This window comes from Homo sapiens, chromosome 3, assembly GCF_000001405.40.
Source record: "Homo sapiens chromosome 3, GRCh38.p14 Primary Assembly".
NCBI lineage: Eukaryota > Metazoa > Chordata > Mammalia > Primates > Hominidae > Homo > Homo sapiens.
In genome coordinates, this window is record NC_000003.12 from 33,027,380 (window position 1) to 33,051,385 (window position 24,006).

General features: G+C 41.4%; 1 protein-coding gene and 1 pseudogene across 5 annotated transcripts in view, besides 1 other annotated feature; one reads left to right on the plus strand and one right to left on the minus strand.

Annotated features, from left to right (window-relative positions):
* The window catches only part of GLB1 (galactosidase beta 1), a 136,039-nt gene that overhangs the window by 66,272 nt on the left and 45,761 nt on the right, over positions 1–24,006 (minus strand). For all 5 annotated transcript variants that reach the window (NM_001393580.1, NM_001135602.3, NM_000404.4 and 2 more), the window contains one exon: positions 18,741–18,853. In NM_001393580.1, the coding sequence (NP_001380509.1) occupies positions 18,741–18,853 (113 nt within the window). The remainder of the gene's footprint in view (positions 1–18,740; positions 18,854–24,006) is intronic.
* On the plus strand, positions 6,435–7,628 carry SEC13P1 (SEC13 homolog, nuclear pore and COPII coat complex component pseudogene 1; annotated as a pseudogene).
* Positions 8,068–9,267: an enhancer, noted in NCBI's record as "MED14-independent group 3 enhancer chr3:33076939-33078138 (GRCh37/hg19 assembly coordinates)". NCBI's record gives its function as "activates an origin of replication core promoter dependent on BRD2, BRD4, P300/CBP and CDK7 cofactors, and independent of MED14, by STARR-seq in HCT116 cells {active_cell/tissue: HCT116}" and the evidence as "EXISTENCE:reporter gene assay evidence [ECO:0000049][PMID:35650434]".

Consider the following 24,006-nt stretch of genomic DNA (forward strand, 5'->3'; position numbering starts at 1 on the left):
GGGATCCAGGCAGGAAGCATGAACCGAGTGCAGCCTGCCAGGCCGAGTGGGCAGAACGAACCCAGTGGGCCCGAGCAAAACTCGGGCAAAGGCGCCACAGGCCACAGAGGTTTCCAGCCAGAAAAGTGACACCCGGCTCACGCCTATATTCCCAGCACTTTGGGAGGCCGAGGCAGGCAGATCACTTGAGGTCAGGAGTTCAAGACCAGCCTGGCCAACGTGGTGAAACCCCATCTCTACTAAAAATACAAAATTAGCCAGGCATGGTGGCACATGCCTGTAGTCTCAGCTACTTGGGAGGCTGAGACATGAAAATCGCTTGAACCTGAGAGGCGGAGGTTGCAGTGAGCTGAGATTGCACCACTGCACTCCAGCCTGGGTGACAGAGTGAGATTCTATCTCAAAAAATAAAATATAAAATAAAATAAATAAAAAGAGGAGGACAAAAGACTGTTATAGTGAAAAGCAACAGTCCCCTGCCTCACTTTTCTCTTAGTTCTTTCAGAGGAAGCCATTTAAAAATTATCATTTTTTATTATTTTGTTTTGAGATAGGCTGTTGCCCAGGCTGAAGTACAGTGGCACAATCACGGCTCACTGCAGCCTCAACCTCCTGAGTTCCAGTGATCCTCCTGTCTCAGCCTCCTGAGTAGCTGGGACTATAGGCATGCACCACCATGACCTGCTAATTTTTATTTTTATTTTTGTAGAAATGGGGTCTCACTATGTTGCCTAGCCTGGTCTCGAACTCCTGAACTCAAGCGATCCTCCCACCTTGGCCTACCAAAGTGCTGGAATTACAGGTGTGAGCTACCACGCCCAGCACATTTTAAGATTATTTAATTGTTCCTATTTTTGCTTCTTCTGGTCTCTAAGTAATATATGTGTACTGCTTTTTCTTATCATTGATTTCTTTAACACATGAGAGTACAGCCCAGAAGATAAAGAAAGTTTATCTTCCTTTCTTGCTATTATGGTTATATCACCATTTTCAGCTTCTCTCCTAGTTATCTTTGTACCTTTAAAATAATATCCTTATATCTTTATTTATTAGTTCCATCAATTAGCATATTACCCTATGTCGCCTCTTTTTTCTCGTTTTGTTTTTTTGAGATGGAGTCTCAAACTTCATGTCTATAGCATTATCCTTTTAAATTTTTATTTTTTAAAAGTAACACTCTGAGTGTGGGGTGACTAGGTCAAAGGATATGAGTATAAGACTCTTAAAATAGTGTATACTCACATTTTCATCAAGTATCCATACTTGCTTATGTCATTTACCCAAAAATTTTTTTTTTTTTTTTGATACGGAGTTTCGCTCTTGTTGCCCAGGCTGGAGTGCAATGGCACAATCTCGGCTCACTGCAACCTCCACCTCCCAGGTTCCAGCGATTCTCCTGCCTCAGCCTCCCGAGTAGCTGGGATTACAGGCATGCACCACCACGCCTGGCTAATTTTTTGTATTTTTAGTAGAAACGGGTTTTCTCCATGTTGGTCAGGCTGGTCTCAAACTCCTGACCTCAGGTGATCCGCCCGCCTCGGCCTAAGTGCTGGGATTACAGGCGTGAGCCACTGCGCCTGGTCATCATTTACCCAATTTTCTATGTAGATCTTGATATTCTGATCAGTGATATTAGCTCATTATAATACAGATATTAAGCTTTCATCTGTCTATCCCATTTACTACAATTTTCTAACTTTTCATTTTAATATTGATGATTTTCATTGATACTAGTTTGATTATCATATAGCAAAATCCTCATCTTTACCTTAGCTAATTAATGTTTCAGAAAAGAAATGAACAAATATACCAAAATGCTATACTTCTAAACCATTATTTTTCCATAATAATTTGTGCTTTAATCATACTTTTCAGAGCAATCAGAAATGTTGCTTCTCATACTTAACCGGACACATTCAACACGGGAAGCTGCTCTTTTCCCTGTGGAATCCACTAGATTCAATGGTGACCAGCTTTTCCTTCACCAAGACCTCTAATGTTTTCATACATTCATCCAACAAACTCTTATTAAGAAAGTACTCTGTGTCAGGTCCTATGCTTGGTACTAGACTTATAAACCTATTCCAGAGAGTGAGAAATGTGTATAAATCAGTTATATTAATACACCACAAAAAGTAGTATTTTCACTAGTAAAGACACGGAATCAACCTAAATGACAATCAATGGTAGACTGGATAAAGAAAATGTGGCATATATACACCATGGAATACTATGCAGCCATAAAAAAGAAACAAGATCATGTCCTTTGCAGCAACATGGATGGAGCTGGAGGCCATTATCCTAAGCAAACTAATGCAGGAACAGAAAACCAAATACTGCACATTCTCACTTATAAGTGGGAGCTAAATGATGAGAACACATGGACACAAAGAGGGGAACAGACATCAGGGCCTACTTGAGGGTGGTAGGTAGGAGGAGGCAGAGGATCAAAGAATGACCTATCAGGTACTATGCTTATTACCTGGGTGACAAAATAATCTGTATACCAAACCCCTGTGACACACAGTTAACCTACACAACAATCTTGCACATGTACCCATGAACCTAAAAGTTAAGAAAAAAAAAAAAAAAGAAAAGTAATGTTTAAAAGATTTCTACAACATAAGTGATAGAAAACAAAATGTGACTAACTTGGCTGACAAGTGGGTCAAAGAAGACTCTGCAGATAAGGTAACTGAGGTGTGTCTTCATTTCCAGGTGAATAAAGGCAGAGGGTGCAGAGACCAGGAGGTATAAACAGTGCTGTTTCATTCATGGAATTGTATATAGCTCCAACTTAAGGCCAGGAAGTCACATCTAAGAAGGGAGAATTGAAAGATGAGGCTGGAAAAATATAGGGGCCAAGTCATGGAAGGTATCCTGACCACATCAGTGTTTTAGATACTACACTTGATCTTAGCCAAAAGACTGAGAAGCGATCACATCAGTGTTTTAGAGAAATCACTCTGGGAGAGGGACTAGAAAAGCCAACTCTACAGGAAACGAAGAGACCAGTACTACAAGAGAGCAGGTGACACTTTAAAAGACTATTTAACAGTTGCTAAGTAATATTGCCTTTCTCATCTGTAACCATCAGACATAAAACACTGGTTTTCACCAGCACTATACATCAGCAAGAGACAGCTGTGTCTGCGTATCAAGCCAATGTCATTCCAGTCATAAACAGTGCAGGATGATCAATCAGCCAGTGTAGACAAATCCTGGATCAAATTTCAAACTTCATTAAGCTTTTGAAGTACAGAAAAAATCACTGTGGCTGTTCTCCCATCCCCTCTTCACCACTCAGCCCAGTTACTACCTTTGGGAATCCCAGAATCCACTCCAATTATCAAGGTCCTCACTACCACTTGATTAATTTCTACAGTGACCCATTTCCAAAACATCAGCGGAACTCTTACGTTGATGGAATCCCTATAAAGAACAGAAACAAAACTCTTAAAATGGGTCTTAAGTTGATTTGACAGCATACAAAAATAAACTCACCACTGCCCCTCTCAGGAATCAGTAGGGAAGAGGAGGTCGCTGCCCTATATTTTTATGGTTCATCCTCGAGGTCAAAGTGTTAACCATGTTTGGTTGAGTTTTACCCACACCAAAGCAAATACCTTTTAAAATGCAAATGTCATGAGCTTTGCCATGCCTTGAAGATTCATATGAAGACAACCGCCTGGGGGCCTTCACCACTGAGCACAGGCTTATGCAGCCTGCTGGGAGATTATCCCCAGGAGTCCATGTCAGTGAAATATATTGCCCATCACCACCTAATGTGTTCTTGAAATGGATTACAGAGGAGACATATTCCGCTTTTTGAGTCTTTGATGAAGGAAGGAGGCAGGTAGAGCTATATACAGGGGATATCTACCATCCAATTTCCTTTACTTGATGCAAGCAAATATTTTGAAGATCATTTAACAAATCAGCTAATGGAATGTCTACAAAGTCTCATAAGAAAGAGCCCACTGGCTGGGTGCGGTGGCTTACACCTGTAATCCCAGCACTTTGGGAGGCCAAGGCGGGTGGATCACTTGAGGTCAGGAGTTTGAGACCAGCCTGGCCAACATGGCGAAACTCCGTCTCTACTAAAAATACAAAAATTAGCCACGTGCATTGGTGTGCGCTTGTAATCCCAGCTACTCGGGAGGCTGAGGCAAGAGAATCACTTGAACCAGGGAGGTGGAAGTTGCCTGGGTGACAGAGCAAGGCTCTGTCTCAAAAAAAAAAAAAAAAAAAAAAAAAAAAAATATATATATATATATATATATATATATATATATAATCTCCACTAAATCTTGTAGTTAATTTCTCTTTCAAACCAGAAATATCAAAAAAAGAGGGAAAATATGACATGTTAAGCTGCAATCTATCATAAGCTATTGAATTACATTCATTTCTTTTTTTGTTTTGTTTTGTTTTTGAGACAGAGTTTTGCTCTTGTTACCCAGGCTGGAGTGCAATGGCATGATCTCGGCTCACTGCAACCTCTGCCTCCTGGGTTCAAGCGATTCTCCTGCCTCAGCCACCAGAGTAGCTGGGACTACAGGCATACGCCATCATGCCCACCTAATTTTTTAATTTTTAGTAGAGATGGAGTATCACCATGTTGGCCAGGCTGGTCTCGAACTCCTGACCTCAGGTGATCCACCCACCTCGGCCTCCCAAAGTGCTGGGATTACACACGTGAGCCACTGAGCCTGGCAATTTCTAAAGACTCTGTCTCCTTTGTGGGTTCTCTTACTCTGCCCAGTTGTTAAAGCTTGGGATCCCCTGGGTTTGTCTTTTGCTTGGCCCATTGCCCTCCTCAGTCAGCTCCCCATGTGCAGTCTCAACCTCTCCCTGGACTTCGGCTTCCATTTGCACTGATCGCCCCAGAATCTGCGCCAACCTTTCCGACTTCTCCCTGGAGTGTCTTACTATTAAGTGTTGGTGCTTATGGAGAAATCTGTCTACCTGGATGTTCCTGGAAATATTGAGCTGAATAAGCCCAGAATTGAACTTGCTTCCCCTGTCCCTGCCAGGGCCTCCTCTGCAATCCTCTATCTCAGGTGCCGATCCCAGTACCCACCTAGTTATCTAACTAAGGTTTTAACCTGGAAAAATCAACAACTCCTCATTCTTTCTCACATCTGTGTTCAGTCAATCACCAAATCCTATCAATTTTACCTCCTGAACACTTTTCTTTCCTAATTTAAATTTTTAAATTTTCTTGTGGAGACAGTCTCACTATGTTGCCCAAGCTGGCCTTGATTTCCTGGCCTCAAGTGAACCTCCCACCTTGGCCTCCCAAAGTGCTGGGGTTACAGGCAAGAGCCACTGTGCCCAGCCCTAAATGTTTTTCAAATTGATTTCTTCCTCTCCACTCCCTGATGCCCCTGCCGTCATCTCATTCCTAGGCTACCATGGCAGCTGCATCCAGAAGTGCCCCAAGGGAGGAATCCCACCAGCATGTTCATAGTGTCATATGTTTTTGTAAAACTTGCAAAAGTAATATAATTTGACCATAACAAGCTAAGATCCTTGTCTCTTTCTGTTCCAGCTTCCCTGTGTCAAATGTCCTCTTCCTTTGGGAGGTTTTACAGGTTGCTATAGGCATTTTGGGGACCCAAGTAAAAATCAGTTAAAGTAGGGATTTACTTTACATGGGTACAGTAGGATATACTGATATGATTCCTGGTTACTTCCGTGAGTAGGTAAGTTATGAATAATGGATCATCCCTTCACCCAATGTGCTGACTCACTTAGCATCATAGTGCAATACAATTATGCCTAAAGGCACCCAGCCCCGGAAGTACATGGGTTGTGGAGAAGCAAGGTTTGAAATGTATGGGGCCAGAACCTGTCTGTGAAAATTTCTTCCAAAAATTATAGCTCATATATGAACAAACTGGAGAGATAGTTCCCCAATTTTGATTACAATCTTAAACATTTATATAATATTATCAGTAATAAAATGTGAAGCTTTTGTTTTTCTAAACTATCAATACTAAACAAATTTCAATCAGCCAGGCTAAAAAGAAAGATTTCTATTCTCTCTAGAGGAAAAGATTACAAACATTGTGGCCATCTGAAGAGGCAAACATTGTTGCTAAAAAAGGTGATAAGAGGCTAGGCGGGGTGGCTCACGCCTGTAATCCCAACACTTTGGGAGGCCCAGGCAGGTGGATCACTTGAGGTCAAGAGTTCGAGACCAGCCTGGTCAACATGGTGAAACCCCGTCTCTACTAAAATACAAAATTAGCTAGGTGTGGTGGCGTGCACCTGTAATCCCAGTCACTCAGGAGGCTGAGGCAGGAGAATCGCTTGAACCTGGGAGGCAGAGGTTGCAGTGAGCCAATATCGTGCCACTGCACTCCAGCCTGGGTGACAGAGCGAGACTGTCTCAAAAAAAAAAAAAAAAAAAGGTGGTAAGGAATGGGGAGGCACCACCAGGAGCTGCCACGTCCCTAGAGCAGTCACGCTGGTATCATGGTGTCAGTAATTAACACTGTGGATACCTCCCATAAGGATATGATTTATGATGCCCAGATGGACTACTATGGCACCCGCCTGGCAACCTGCTCATCAGAAAAATCCGTCAAAATCTTCAAAGTGCACAACAGAGGGCAGATCCTCATTGCCAACCTCAGAAGTCATGAGAGTCCTATGTGGCAAGTGGCCTGGGCTCACCCCACATATGGCAATATCCTGGCATTGTGCTCCTATGATTGGAAAGTCATTATCTGGAAAGAGGAAAACGGCACCTGGGAGAAGACCCACGACCCCTCAGGATATGACTCCTCCGTGAACTCTGTATGCTAGGTCCCCCATGACTACGGCCTGATCCTGGCCTGTAGGAGCTCAGATGGGGCCATCTTCCTGCTGACTTATACAGGGGAAGGCCAATGGGAAGTGAAAAAGATCAACAACGCTTACACCATTGGCTGCAATGCCATCAGCTAGGCCCCTGCTGTTGTACCTGGAAGCCTCATAGACCAGCTGTTCAGGCAGAAACCCAATTACATCAAGAAGTTTCCATCAGGTGGCTGTGACAACCTCTTCAAGGATGGCCAGTGGAAGGAGAGCAGAAGCTGGAAGCACAGTGACTGGGTTTGAGATGTGGCCTGGGCCCCCTCCATCAGCCTGCCCACCAGCACCATTGCCAGCTGCTCCTGGGATGGTCGTGTGTTCATCTGGACCTGTGATGATGCCTTGGGAAATATATGGTCTCCCAAATTGCTGCACAAGTTCAATGATGTCATGTAGCATGCGGGCAGGTCCATCACAGCCAACATATTGGCCATCTCTGGTGGAGACAATAAGGTGACCCTGAGGAAGCAGTTGGTTGATGGGCAGTGGGTGTGTATCAGTGATGTCAACAAGGGCCAGGGCTCTGTGTCAGCTTCAGTCATAGAGGGCCAGCATAACAAGCAGTGACAAGACAGGCAGAGCCTCCCACCTGCCAGCTCCAGGACTGACTGATCATCTAATCTGCCTTAACATGATCAGAGATGGTTTGTAATCTACTGTCCAGCTGAAAGCATTCATGTTATGAGGCAGAAACTACAAATGATGTTCAAATCTATTATTTTAAAATATTTTTAGCCATTTTTAGGTAACTTTGGGTTCAGGCATTATTTGGGAGGTTTTGTTTCCAAAGTCACTAAATAAAGTCATATTGCTTATTAAAAAAATAAACAAAAGGTAAGGAATGAAGAATGGTAGAAGTTTCAAGCAGTTAATAAAACCAAATGATGTTTTTAAAAAAATGTTGTAGGCTGGGCGCAGTTGCCCATGCCTGTAATGCCAGCACTCTGGGAGGCCAAGGTGGGAGGATTGCTTGAGGTCAGGAGTTCGAGAGCAGCCCGGGCAACATAGGGAGACTCCATCGCTACAAAAAAATTAAAAATTAGACAGGTGTGGTGGCGCACACCTGTAGTTCTAACTGCTCAGGAGGCTGAGGCAGGAGGACCGCTTGAGTCCAGGGGTTTGAAGCTGCAGTGAGCTATGATTGCACCACTGCACTCCACCCTGGGCAACAGAACAAGACACTGTCTCAAAAAAAAAAGGTGATATTTGTGATTAATCATTTAATCTTTTTGTTATGGACTGAACATTTGTGTCCTCCCAAAACTCATATGTTGAAATTCTAATTCTTAAGGTGATGGTATTATGTGGTAAGGACTTTGAGATGGGGTTAGTGCCTTAAATGAGATCCCAGAGAGCTCTTTAGCCCCCTTTTTGTAATTAAGGATACAATTAGAAGTCAGTGCTCTGCAATGTGGAAGAGGACCCTCGCCAGAACCTAACCATGCCGGCATTTTCACCCTCAGAACCATAAGTACCACCCAGTCTATGGTACTTTGTTATTGTAGCTCAAACTGACTAAGACACTTGGAATTTGTAATGATTTCTTGATTCATTCTAACTACACATTCCTTTTTGTTGCCTCATCCAATAGCCATTTTGAAATGCATAGCCGATTATATCATTTTCTTCTTTAAACTACTTCAAAGGCACCATTACCTATAATTCAAGCTCCTTAACTTGGTGTATTCAATAGCATTTATTTTCTTGGTGAAGTAGGAGACAGTGTCACCTGTACATTAGGATAAAGTGTAAGGGTGATGGTTTATACCATACAGTGAGAAGAAGGAATGACAAAGGGCAAAAAGAGAACTAGAGATCATGAAAGATCCAAATCAGATTGGAAGTAAGATCCCTTCCTGGCCAGTCAATACTGAAGTTTAAAATTCTTCTGCCTGGCTCTGGTTCCAGAGTGTGACAGTCAGAATGGTCCCAGCAGTGGTTCATAGAGCAGGGCCTCTTAAACAGCTGCATACAGAAGGATTGAGGGTGATGGTGTAAGATTATCCCAGCCATCGATCAGAAGAGCAAGGGAAGGTCAAGAAAAGTGTGTGGAGTTTCAGGGATAGGGGATGGCAGGAAGAAGTAGCTAGAAGTATGAGAGAATAAAAATGTGCTGTTATAATGAGGCCAAAAGTAAAGTGATATTTTATGCAATAAAGCTTATGTAAATATGTGTTTTAAAACTTGATTTGATTTTTTCCACATTAGGAAAGTTCACTATTTCAGAAAGAAAATAATTCTAAAAATAAGCCTACCAGCAACTCCACTTCTAGGTATGTCCCTAGAGGAATGACAAGCAGAGACTTATCCATATTGATATTTGTACTCTGATGTTCAATGCAGCATTATTCAAATAGCCAAAAGATGGAAACAACTGAAATGGTCATCACCAGATGAACAAAATGAATAGGTAATTAAAATATCATATACGCATACAATGGAATATTAAGCCATAAAAAGAAATGAAATTCTGACACGTTACAACGTTGAAAACATTGTGCTAAGTGAAATAAGCCAGATACAAAAGGACCAATATTTTATGATGCCACTTATATGAAATATCTAGAATAGGCAAATTCACAGAGACAGAAAGTAGACTAGGAGCTACTAGAAGCTGAGGAGAGGGTGACTGGGGAGCTATTGCTTCATGGTTACAGAGTTTCTGTCTGGAAGGAAGAAAAAGTTTTGAAAATAGATAATGGTGATGGCTGTATAACATTGTGAATATAACTAATGGCACTGAATTTACATTTAAATATGGTTAAAATGGCAAATTTTGTTTTATATATATTTTACCACAATTAATTTTTTTTTTTTTTTGAGACAGAGTCTTGCTCTGTCACCCATGCTGGAGTGCAGTGGTGTGATCTCAGGTCACTGCAACCTCTGACTCCCATATTCAAGCGATTCTCCTGCCCCAGTCTCCCGAGTAGCTGGAATTACAGGTGTGCGCCACCATGCCAGCCTAATTTTTGTATTTTTAGTGGAGATGGGATTTCACCATTTTGGCCAGGCTGGTCTCGAACTCCTGACCTTAGGTGATCTGCCTGCCTCGGCCTCCCAAAGTGCTGGGATTACAGGTATGAGCCACCACACCTGGCCTAAAAAATTAATAATATAACAAAAAACATTGAATGGTGTACTTTGAATGGGAGAAATGTATGTGAATTATACCTCAACAAATCTGTTTAGAAAATAAATAAACCTGAAGTGGATTGTGAAATGAAGCAATAGTCTATAAAAGAAACAAGTCCACAGGCATTATAATCAAATCAAGTAAATCAGTAGTCCTGGCTGATAGAAGACACCCAAACTAAACATGGAACAGTAACTCTTACCTAGAAAAAACTACAGTGCTCATGTCACACTCTCTGTAACAGGATACCCTTTGGGTCTGGACACCACATAAAAACTAATAGAATGGCAGAATAATACTTCCTCCTTGATTTTCTTGGGAGCAATTGAGCAATGGTGATTACTGCAGCTACTAAAGGGCACTGTCAACAGAGGCTTTGAGCATAAGTGGGCACAAGTTTCCAGGGGAATATTTAACTCTAGTTTGAAATTTTACAATGACATAAGTGAAGAAAAACAGTAATAAAAATAACTGCTATGTATTATTCTCTGAGAAGACATGCTAACCGTATTGCACAGATGTGGAAGGAGGGTACCTTGCCCACTGAGTACTGGAGTCAACACTCAAGTTTTGTTCTGTCTCTCTCCAAAGCTTCTCCAATCTGTGACTCTACCTCTCACACAATACTGGGCGACTCTTCAAAAAAAAAAAAAAAAAAAAAAAAAAAGGCTCAGATTGGTGAGAGAGGTAACAAATTGCATATCTGCCATATCTTTAAAACTTGCTTAAAGATGATTTCATTCTATTTGGAGAAACTCTGGAGTAAGAGGGATGCTTAAAGAGAAAAATTCAAATTTATCTCTTCTGTGAGCCCCTCCAACACAGGACCATGGTAGACTTATCACTCACCTCTAGCATTTAACACGGAAATTGTAAGACTGGTGTTGAATGTTTGTATAATGATTAAGTGGATGATCGACAGATCTCAGAAAAATAATTTGTGAAAGGTTTGCCCTGTGCTCTGAAGGTTAACACCTTTGTGTATAGCAAATTCTGGAGAATCTCTTAGGGAGTAAGTAAATCTCTGAAACTAGGTTTTTGTTGACAAATCTTGCTGTGGAAAACATCTAGAACAATTGTACAAGATGTTTTAAAATATCTTTTTGAAAGCATCAGAAAGCTACCAAAGCAGAAAGGAATTAAGTGGTTACAATTCCAAAAAAATGGAAAATGTCATGATGCAAGTCTGATATTTGTTACTAGTTTTCCCATCAAGGTATTTGTCAATTCACAAGGGCCAACTGAGAGGCTAGAAGCCGAACACAACTTCTGGGAGTCTTCTAGGGCTGAGAAGATAAAAATTGGACTTCAGAGATCAGAACGGAGAAAGAACCCTGGTAAATACTTCAAGCTCTCAGTTGAGACCCCTAAGAAAGTGAACCAGAAGCGGACCAACCCTCAAGAAGACAGAAGCCCACTTTCAAATTAGCTTAATCCCTGATTGCATGAAGATGATCTCTGTCTACTCTAACTGCCTGGTAGAAGTAAAAGTAAATCTCTTTTGGAAGAAAAAACATATATAACCCAAATTATCTCTTTCTTTTTTGTTTTATTGACCTCTAGATGAGAAAAAACCCAACATATAGGAGACAACACTATCTGATCAAAAACGAATAGAAAAAAAAGCCAGGGCCGGGCGTAGTGGCTCATACCTCTAAGCCCAGCACTTTGGGAGGCCGAAGTGGGCAGATCATGAGGTCAGGAGTTCAAGACCAGCCTGACCAACATGGTGAATCCCCATCTCTACTAAAACTATGAAAATCAGCCAGGTGTGGTGGTGCACAGCTGTAATCCCAGCTACTCAGGAGGCTGAGGCAGGAGAATCACTTAAACCCAGGAGGTGGAGGTTGCGGTGAGCTGAGATCACACCACTGCACTCCAGCCTGGGCAACAGAGCAAGACTCTGTCTCAAAAAAAAAAAAAAAAAAAGGAAAAAAAAGCCATTGAAACAGACCCATAAGACATCATGGTATTGGAATAATCTGAAGAAAGCTTAAAATTATGCCAATAGACATACAACAAAAGAAGATGAGGAATTTCAGCAGAGAACTGGAAACAATTTTTAAAATCTAATGGAAGCTCTAGAACTGACAAATGCAATCATTGAAATTGAGTCTATAATATGGGTTTCACTCAGACAGTTGAAAAGAGGATTAATAAACTAGAAGATAGGTCAGAATAAAATCTAAACTAAAATATGTTCGGGGGAAAGGATAGAAACAATGGAAGCGCTTAGGAGATACACAGAACACAGGAAAAAACGTCTAACACACATATCACTGGTGTTCTGAAAGGCAAGGTGGGAGAACGAAGTAAACATAACATTGGATGAGATAACAGCCAAGAATGTTCTAAAATCCACAAAAGAAATAATGCCATAGATTTAGGAAGTTCAAACACCCTCAAACAAGATGTATATAAAGAAAACTATGCATAGGCATACCATAGGAAAATTCCTAAAAATCAAAGATGAAAAGGAAATCTTAAAAGCACTAGAGAAAAAAAGACCTATACCATCAAAGGAAAACCAGTGACAGGTGATTTTTCAAAAGAAATGATGGAGGTCATACATACAAATATGGAATGGTATTTTGAAAATGCTGATTTTTAAGACTGCATAAACTGATAGAAATAAAAAAATAGCCCTAGGAGTAGCTTAGACATAACATCTATCTAAGCTGTTCCTAGATCCTTTACCCTCAGAAACTGTGATATAATAAATATTTGTTATGTTGAGCTACTAGGTTTAGGGGTACTTTGTTACATGGCAATAGGTAGGGAGAAAATAAATCTCCTTTGAAAATTCATATGCACAGTCAGCCCTCTGATATATTTTGTAGCTAAAATTCACACTGCTTCTGTAGTACAAAAAAAATCCCTCAATTTAAGATTTTAATTTAAGGCGTAATGTTCCCTGGTACCTGCCAGAAGCAAATGCTAATTCTCTCTGGAAGAACCCACATTCACCCCAAATCTCAAATAATTCCTAAAGATAAAAGTTCCATGAGTGAGCCCAGGAGTTCAATACCAGCCTAGGCAACATAGTGAGACCCTGGCTCTACAAAAAAAAAATAAAAAATAAATTAGCTAGGCATGGTGGCACATGCCTGTAGTCCCAGCTCCTCAGGAGGCTGTGGCAGGAGAATCACTTGAGCCCGGGAGGTTGAGGCTGCAGTGAGCCAGGACTGCACCACTGCACTCAGCCTGGGCGAGAGTGAAACCCTGTCTCTAAGAACAATGACAACAACAACAACAACAAAAAGTTCCAAGAAATTCAGCTCAGTCAAAATCACAACACACACGCAGAAACAAGACACCATGAACAAGAGGTCACAGAAACAACAAAAGGCAGAATGAGACAAAGAAAGACTCTGCATACTGAAATGATCAAATAGAGATATATAACAGAAGTATCTCTAGTATGTTTAAAGAAATAAAAGAAGAACATGTATACATAAGGAAAAAGCAAGAGAATTTAAAAATGGCTGAGTAAAATTCGAACTGCTAATGTGAACTTATAGAATGAAAAATATAATTTAATAATTCAATGGAAAGGTTTTAATCTTAGAATTTATAGCTACTAAAGAGAAAGCAACAATTGAAGAACATATTTCAAGACAATCAGAATGCTGCACAGAGAAAAAGAGATTACGAGCTGTGAAGGCTAGAATCAGAAGGTCTAACAAATTATCTAATAGAAATAAATATTTGAAGACATAATGGCATAAACTTTTTAGGACTAGTGAAAAAAGATACCAAGCCACAAGTTCCAAAACTACCAAGCAGGATAAACGAAAAGAAAGTCACACTTAGATTCATCACAGAGAAACTATACAGCGTCAAATATAAAGAGAAAATCTCAGAAGCTGTCCAAGAGGAAAGATAGATTATCTTCAAGAGAGTGACAGAGTACAGTAAACTGACTTCTCAGCAGCAACAATAAAAGCCCAAAGTCAGTATGCTGAGAGAAAACTATCAGTTTAGAAAAACTACAATTTGAGGCCGGGCATGGTGGCTCACACCTGTAATCCCAGCACTTCGGGAGGCTGAGGCAGATGGATCATCTGAGGTCAGAAGTTCAAGACCAGCCTGGTCAACATGGTGAAACCCCATCTCTACTAAAAATACAAAAATTAGCCAGGTGTGGTGATGCACGCCTGTAATCCCAGCTGCTTGGGAGGCTGAGGCAGGAGAATCGCTTGAAGCTGGGAGGCAGAGGTTGCAGTGAGCCAAGATCTCACCACTGCACTCATTCTGGACAACAGAGTGAGACCCTGTCTTCAAAAAAAAAAAAAAAGAAAGAAAGAAAAGAAAAACTGCATTTTGAAAATGAGGGTGAAAAAAAAATTTTCAGACAAAGAAGAATTAATATAACTTGCTTACTAAATGAAATTCTAAAGAATATACTTCAGGCAGAAGAAGCAATAGAAGATAAAGAAAAGTGTGGTCCTGGGACAAAGGTACCAGACCTTTGTCTCAAGCTGTGCATTCATATATCCACTGCCTACTCTACATCTCCACTAGTACATATACTAGACAAGTCTAACTTTGCACAGCCAAAACTGAACTCCTGATCTTCCCCCCACATAAATGGTAACTCTGTCCTTCAAGTTGCCATTTAAAACACTTTAGAGTCACCCGACTCTCCTCTCTTTCATACTCCCCATCTGAAAATTATATTAGCACTAGTTTCATAATATATTCTGAAACTGCCTAGTTCCTACTACCTTCATAAGCCACAATCACCTCTCACTGAGATGGCTGCAAAAACTTTCTAACTGGTCTTCCTACTCTACCCTTGCCGCACCTCCCAGGGTCTAATCTCAACACAGCAGCTGGAATCTGCTTTAATAGAATGCTTTAACAACGGCTCTGCTCAACTCCTCAATGGATTCCCATTACATTCAGAGTAAAAGCCAAAGTCTTATAATGGCCTGTAATGCTCCATGTGATCTGTTCCCCATCTATATCCCTGACCCCTCATCTCCTCCTTTTTTTTTTTTTTTTTTTCCAAGTCTCGCTCTGTCGCCCAGGCTGGAGTGCAGTGGCGTGATCTCGGCTCACTGCAAGCTCCACCTCCCGGGTTCACGCCATTCTTCTGCCTCAGCCTCCGGAGTAGCTGGGACTACAGGCGCCCGCCACTATGCCCGGCTAATTTTTTGTCTTTTTAGTAGAGACGGGGTTTCACTGTGTTAGCCAGGATGGTCTCGATCTCCTGACCTCGTGATCCGCCCGCCTCGGCCTCCCAAAGCGCTTGGATTACAGGCGTGAGCCACCGCGCACAGCCTCTCCTACTTCTTACCCCTTCATTTACTGGGCTCCAGCCACACTGGCCTCCTTGCTAGTCTTTAAAAATGCCATATACCTTCCCAAGTTCTCACTGGCTGCATTCTGCCTGGAATGCTCTTGTCCAGGCGGAGATATGCCACATGGCTCTCTCACCACCTTAAAATTTTTGTTTGAGCTCCACCTTTTCAGGAAAGCCTACAGCCACCAAGCACCTAAAACTGCAACCTGGCGCATGCAGAGTACTTGATGAATGTTTGTTAAATCATTTGCCAATAAATGAACTATGTGGGTCAAGTGAAATACTATCTGAAGCCATTGTAGTAATGCCCCATGGGTTTTATTTTTTAAGGAGAGAACTAAAATACATGAAAACTAAACCCAGAGAATTAAAATACATGACAATAATAACATACAAATCAAGAGGGCTGTAATTGGAGTTACAGTAAGTTAAAGAGGGATGCAATATGGAGAAAGTAAAGATATTGATTAATTTTAAACTATTACAAGACAGCCAGACACAGGAGTGTATATTGTAGGAACTTGCTGCCTAAAAACGAGCAAAATGAATCTCTGGTGATAGAGGTGAGGACAGCTGTGAGCTCAGGAATGGGTATGTGTGTCAATGACTAGAGAGGGACATTAGAGGGGCTTCCGGGGAGCTATGTGTTTGTCACAGGGCTGCGCTCCCGTTGCCTAAATTCACTGAGCTGTGTACTACGAGTTGTTCTTTTCTGGGGGTATAGATGTCACACTTAAATGGTAACCACTAAAAAAATTAGAATGCAGTGAATAACTTCCAAAGTAGAAGAGGGGGGAAAGAAATAAGAGGAAAAAACAAAACAAAACAAAAAACCTCAATCTAAAAGAAAGCAATAAAGGGAAAGAAAGAGCCAAAAAGGTAAACGAATAGAAATTATAAAATAAGATAATTGAAATTCATCTATGTATATCAAGAAGTACAATGAATGAGAATGTATAAATATATCAGTTAAAAGACAAGAAATTTCAAACTAGATATTTTAAAAATTCGATTATATCCTGTTTATAAGGGACACATGTAAACAGAACAAAGGATATAAAAAGGATGAAATTACAGCATTGGGAAAGATACCTCAGAAAAATACCAAGCAAAAGTATGCAGGTAAATGGTGTTAATGAATAACAGACCAAAAAAAGAAAAAAAAAAAAAAAAAAGGCTTCCAGGCAAAAAGCCTTATTAGAAATAGAGGGTTATATAATCCCTTTACTATTAAGTACTGAAGGATGTAATTCTCAATTTGCCCACCTAATAACATAACCTCAGAACTGGCAGAGCTACAAAGGGAAATACATGAGGACAACTCTCACTAAATAGTAGACTGAACTGACAAAAAATTAGGAAGCAGATCAAAGATATCAATGGCACCATTAATAAACTTAATCTGATGAACATGTATGTAGAATATAGTCAACAACTGTAAAATATACTTTCTTTTTATGCGCACATTGACCATTAATATTGGTGTATGTCAGGCTCTAAGACTAGGCTCAGCAGCTTTCAAGGGATTGGTATCACAGACTATATTCTCTAACCAGAATGCAAAAAGACTAGAAATCAAAAAAACAGGAAAGTACTTATTTCCAGTAATTTAAAAAACACATATCAATGGTGAAGAGAAATCAAAATAGATATGTTTAGAAGCAAACAGTAAGAAATAGATTGCACATCAAAACTTACGAGATAAAGCCACAGCAGTACTTGAAGGAAATTTATAACCTTAAATATTTATATTAGAAAAGAAGAAAGGCTGCATTAAAAAGCTAAGCTTCAAATAAAGGAAGGAAATAATAAAGATAGGAACAGAAAGCTTCAAAACAGAACAAACATACAAGGGAGAGCTTGGGAGACATTACTATAAATTCTGTGGAGATTAAACCCATAATAAAGGAATAACATAAGCAACATTTTAACAATACATTTGAAAATTTAGATGAAATGGACAAATTATAAGTGTGGTAAGTCTAGATTGTATTTTTTATATTTAAAAAATTTGTAATATTCATTTTAACACATGCTTAAAATTAAAACGACATCATACTTAAAACAAAAAAAACCATACCATTTATAGGCAGAAAACCTTTGTTTTTTTAACTTCAAAACTCAGGTGACTGAGCATAAAAACTGTGGGTTTTTTCTTTTAACCCACAGCAGAGACAGGAAACCCCACCTAGGTGCATTAGGTGCCTCAAAAGGGTACAACGCTAGCAGGACTAAGCAGTTCAGATGCAGTCCAGAAACAGCAATCACTTGCTCCAAATAGAAAAATGAAGCTTCACTGACAGCTGACATCTGCACCATGCTTCACAGTATCTGAAGATTTTTTTTCCTATGTACATCAGCTATTTAAGTAGACACACATTTTCTTACATTTAAGATAAATAATAGTTAACGGCTACCACTTATTAGACATATATGTGTCAGGAACTGTCCTGGATGGCTTACATACGTTCTTTTCAAGCTTTACAGCACAACCAGATGCTGTAATCCCAGTTTTACAAATTAACAATCAGTAGACTGATTTGCTCATAGACTCACTCTTTTTTTTTTTTAGGTAAATAAATAATTATTGTTCATTTATTTGACTATGAAAGAAGAAAACAAACATTTATTGAGTGCCATTTATTTTTAAACTGTACAAGTCTGTGAGGTAAGTACGGCTACCTCTACTTTTATATAAAGGGAATTTACACAATTGGCTTAAGGTTGAAGAAATAGTGTCCAGGTTCAAAATCTGGTGTTCCTCATTCTGAAATCACATAGTCTGTATATTGGGCCACACATAAAAAGGAAAATAGTTTATCTTCTTCTCTCTTGCAAATAAGGACGGAGTTATTTTCTAGTGAGAAATAATTCTTATACACTTTGGTTACTGGAAACTTACTTTTTTCAGATGATGCATTAAATAAAGAAACCAGAGCTTAGCTTTACCTCTTTTGATATTGAAGTACATTAGCTGTGTCTCAAGGATAGGGGCTCCCATATATCCATGCTGCCTTAATAGGGGCTATAGTCTCAAGAGGATCTGTGCATTCTCTCCCATCACCCTACCTCTCACCTGAACTTTTGGAAAGATAATCTGGCCTGGAAGGAGAAGAAAATGGAGACAGAAATTTCCCCGGGTGAATTCTCACCATATAAGAAGTGAATCTGTAAGTAGCATTTAACACTGTATTATATATTGCAGTTTTTAAATACATGTCTTATATCTCCTACTCTCCTATAAGCATCTGCTCATAGACTCACTCTTAACCACGTGGGTACAAGATGCAAACCCAAGTCTAGCTGATGCCTCCCTTCATCCATCCTTTTAAACAGGAGGGCTCCAGGCAGGAAGTTGTCCACAGAGCCACAGTGAGTTCAAAAGAGGCTCTGTCCAAGATCAGCCCACCACAGCTCATACAAAGCACCCACCTTCTGGATGATGTTTCGCAGAGCAAAATACTTCTCAGTGAGGTCCCCAGCCTCACTCAGTGGGGCATCATAGTCGTAGCTGGTGGGCTGTGCTGCATAGGGTGAGTTGGCCCCTAGAAGACAAAAATGTGCCACTAGTTATTACTGATGGTGCAGCTCTGGGACAAGTTCTTTGGGATCCATGAGCTCAGCACTGTAGAGAGAGAAAACTAGAAGACACATTAAAACCACTTGTTGGGAGACACAGACGTGACCCTCAGGATGCAACGTTTAGAGGAAGGAATTTCTTTCTACAGGTAGCAGTTACCAGGCACCTTAGAGTTTACCAAGGACTCTTTCCATCCACTCTCTACAGAAGCTCACAGCTGTGATTCTAGCAGGTATCACCCCCACTGGACAAGCAGGGAATCTGAAGCTCCCCACAAAAATCTGCTAACACCTCACAAGCAGTAATGGCAGGGCTTATGATATGACCCCCATCTCTGACTGTTAATCCTGTCAACTCTGAACTTTTTCACGTCCTCAAGCTGTGGCTGAGAAAAGCTCAGTGGTGAAGACACAGATGACTAGGCCATGGATCAGCAGAAAACCCAGGGCTTATTAAACCAAACACAGCGGGAGATGACAGCAGACCCACATCAGCCACAGAGGTTCAAACATAATCCGAGGGCCTTTGTTGCATCTACAAAGACTGTCGATGGGGCTGTGGTGCACCTCTTGGATCCCCCTTTAGAACCAGGGCACTCACTCATTCTCCCAGCAGCTAGGGCTGTTGTCTGCTGACATTTCTCAGATGTGTCCGTCTCTGGGTGCTGGCCTGTGCTGAGCTGCCTCACCCAAGGTTACAACCCTCAGGGATAGCCCACATCCAACAACTGACCAATGTGCCTCGAACAGCCAACCCAGCTGCAGAGCTCCCTCTAAGATTGGATGAGGCCACTTGTGAAGCTGCATCATAGCCCCACTTCTCCCTCTCTATCCTACAGGCATTGCTCCAGAGAGCACAATCAATAAGCTTTCTACCAGGTAATCTCAGAGTCTGTTTCCCTGGGAACTTGACCTACAACAAAGACCAATGGATAATGCCAACACTGAGTATACAAAAGGACTAGAAAAACAAATGCCCCTGCAGTCACTGTGCAAGGGGCGGGGTCTAGACCAGAGGATCCCGACCTTGTCAGGGATGATGTTCACAGGTATGAGGTTGTCTGCAACATTGGGTGGTACTTCAAAAACTTACCCATGCTTAAGTGTCACATGGAGAGCTTGTTAAAACAGATTCCTAAGCCCCATCCCAGAGATTCTAATTCAGCAGGTCTGGAGTGGGGCCTGAAACTGCATTTCTAACAGGTGTCCAGGTGACGCTGATGCTGCCATCCATAGACCAGCAAGGCTTTGTGCCTTCCTCCTCTACTTCAGAGAGCATATTGCAATGCAAGTGTGTGAGAATGAAGTTATTTTAGGAATAGTCTTTTGTCCAACCTAATTTGTACATCAATGAGGCACAAAACATGATAGTTTACCTAGGATTAGTAATAAATTCCTTGGATGCAGCTCACCAATGATGGAGCCACCTTGGGTGACCTACTGGTTGTGGAGGTGACAGATGAGCAAGGCTGAGGATCAGATCAAGCAGGTCAGCTCCAAAGACTTTTTCATTAGTTCTCTGCACAGAATCTAAACTTTGAAAGATCTGGACCACTCAACCAACTGAACTGATCTAGTCATACCATTTCCCCCATTTCTTATTAATCAGAGACAACTCACAGCCAACAGGTCTGCCTGCCTTAAGGGATTCATAGGTTAAAACACATCCCTTCCTGTGAGACACAAAGAAAAAAAAAAACCCACATCCGTTGCTGCAAGGAACTCACCTTCTTTGTGGCCCTCGTCTGCTTCTAATGTGGTAGTCACCCATGCTGTGCTGTGTTTCTTATTTGTTATGTCTCTCTCCATGCTACACTGCTTGCACCTCAGGGGCAGAGACTGTGCCTCACTTGCCCTTGAGTCCTTAGCCAGAGCCCAGCATGGAGGGGGTTGCCAGGTTGAGTTGGGAAAGTGTGACCTCTAGAAGCACACTTTACAGGCCGAGGGAGCCCAGGCTGGGAAGCTGTCCAGTGGGTTTAAGGATGGATTGGAAGACTAAGTATTTGTTCTAGTTCTACTGGCAGAATCTTACTTTGGGTGTTTTTAGACCACCAAAGGGCAGCATCGCAGAGAAATGGTGCAGATTCAAGCCTCCTCTGGCCACTTAAGAGGGTGTGAGGTGGGAAGGTGAAAGAAATGGTGAGACTTTGCATTCATCAACATTCCACATTGTGTGAGAAGTACAGGAGCGCCTGGACCCTGTAGGCAGCCATCACACAGCTGTGGACACACACAGGTGTGGAGGAAGGAGACACACACCTGCACAGGCAGGTGCATGTTCCTGTGGGTGGGATGGGCAGTGAACTCCCCACTCCTGATGCCTTTCTCTCCCTGCTCTCCTCTAGGAAGCTGGCCTGAAGAACAGCTGCTAAGTACAGACTGGCCTTCTCTCACTTCCTCAAAGAGACAGGGCAAAAAGCAGCTTCAGGGAGGCTTGGCAGAACACAGTGGGGTGGGTGTGGGGGCTGGCTCAGGGGCTCCAGGGTGCAAAGGGTGATCCAAAGCGCAGTGACTCTGGCTCACCACCACCTGAGTTCCAGTCCAAGCTTCACCCCTTGCCAGCTGAACAGAAAACGTGTGGACTTTTTTTTGTATTCAGCTATTCTTATCTGAAAAGTGGTGCTGATAATCTCTAATTAAGATGAGGCTAATATGCAGGCTAAATAAGGCAACAGAGGAAGAAAGGGGAATTCTATGGATTATGGCAGAGGGAGGGGCAGGAGAGAGGATTAAGGACAACATTTATGTTCTGACAGTTTCTATAATGTCCAATTTTTTTTTAAGATGAATGTGTTATTTTAAGTATAACAGTAAGATTTTTAAAAAATTGTGTCATGAACCATAAAGTTCCAAAAACGATGCCTTTTTTCCTGGATCGGATGATTGGTCCCGATCCCATCAATGGCAGCTAGGGGGAATCCCCATCTACTAAGTGAAAAAGGCACCCACCAGGTCTCAACTGTTTCTCATAAGATGAACACAGAGGGATTATCTAAAATATCAGTGACCAACCTTGGCACACTATTATCTTTTCCTTTTTTTTAATTTAATTTAAGTTCCGGGATATATGTGCAGGACGTGTAGGTTTGTTACATAGGTAAACGTGTGCCATGGTGGTTTGCCACACCTATCAACTGGTCACTTAGGTATTTATTTTATTTTATTTTTGAGACAAAGTCTCACCCTGTCACCCAGGCTGGAGTGCAATGGCACGATCTCAGCTCACTGCAACCTCCACCACCTGGGTTCAAGTGATTCTCCTGCCTCAGTCTCCCGAGTAGCTGGGATTACAGGTGAGCGCCACCACAACCAGCTAATTTTTTGTATCTTTAGTAGAGACAAGGTTTCACCATGTTGGCCAGGCTGGTCTCAAACTCCTGACCTCGTGATCCACGCACCTCAGCCTCCCAAAGTGCCGGGATTACAGGCGTGAGCCACCGCACCCAGCCTGGTCACCTAGGTATTAAGCCCTGCATGCATTAGCTATTCATCCTGATGCTCTCCCTCCCCTCACCCACCCAGACACGCCCCAGGCACACTATTATCTTATATGCAGTGACATTTGAGTTTTGCAATATCTTCATTTCTTGGCTCTACTAATAGTATTAAAATTGATAATGCTTGTAAGCGATGTCTTCTCCTAGCCCATCTCAGCCTGCAAAAAAGATAGCAGTTCAAAGGAGAAACTTCATTAAGAGCTGATAGTATCCAATTTCAGATCCTGAGAGATTTAGGCCCAAACTAAGCCTTCAAAACTCAACAGCTGGGCATCCTCCATGATTCAGAGAGAAAAATGCAAATAAAGAGACAGGTGGGAAATGAAGCTTAGCGAAAAGCCAGTACAGCATCATCTGTCTTTGCAAAAAAACAACAAAAATCAAAGACGTTACAGAAAAATTTTGTCATAATTTTTCCTACACAAAAAAATACAGAAATGTAAAGTGGTGTGGCCTTTTTGGGAAACACTATGGCAGTTCCTGAAACTCTAAACATAGAGTTACCATATGACACAGCCGTTCCACTTCTTGGTATACACCCAAAGGAACTGAAACAGGAATTCAAACAAATCCTTGTACATCAATGTTCAAAGCAACACTATAACCAAAATGTGCAAATAACCCAAATGTCCATCAACCAATGAATGGATAAATAAAATACTGTACATCCACACAAGGGAATACTATTCAGCAATAAAAAGGAATGAAGCACTAGTACGTGCAACAACGTGGATGAGCGTTGAACACATTGGGCTAAATGAAAGAAGTCATACAGGTGTATATATGTGGTTCACTTATACGAAATGTTCAGAATTGGCAAACCCACAGGGACAGAAAGTATATTATTTCCAGGGGCTGAGAGGAGGGAGAGTGTGGAATGAATGCTAATGGGTATGGAGTTTCTTTTTGGGGTGATAAAATGTTTCTGAATTAGATAATGGTAATGGTTACACAACTTTGTGAATACAGTAAATACCACTGCATCATATACTTAAAAATTGTCAATTTTATGGTTTGTGAATTATACCTCAACAAAACAAAACGTTAAAAGAAAGAGACCACAGTAGAATATTTGAACAAATAAGCTACAGTTATAGACTGTGACTGAAGCCTGCCCAACTACCCTGGTTTAAAACAGTAAGGCTTCTAAATGCTCACATTTATTTCCCTTAAAAATTATTTTGTCCAGGCGCAGTGGCTCACGCCTGTAATCCCAGAACTTTGGGAGGCCAAGGCAGGTGGATCACGAGGTCAGGAGATCGAGACCACCCTGGCTAACACGGTGAAACCCCGTCTCTACTAAAAATACAAAAACAAAAATTAGCTGGGTGTGGTGGCGGGTGCCTGTAGTCCCAGCTACTCTGGAGGCTGCGGTGGGAGAATGATGTGAACCCGGGAGGCAGAGCTTGCAGTGAGCCAAGATTTGCACCTCTGCACTCCAGCCTGGGCGACAGAGCGAGACTGCGTCTCAAAAAAAAAAAAAAAAAAAAAAAGTAAGAAATATTATTTTTTAAAATTACATAGGTAATCCTTATATGTTAGAAAATTTAGGGCCAGGCATGGTGGCTCACGCCTGTAATCCTAGCATTTTGGGAGGCCAAAGTGGGAGGATCACTTGAGGT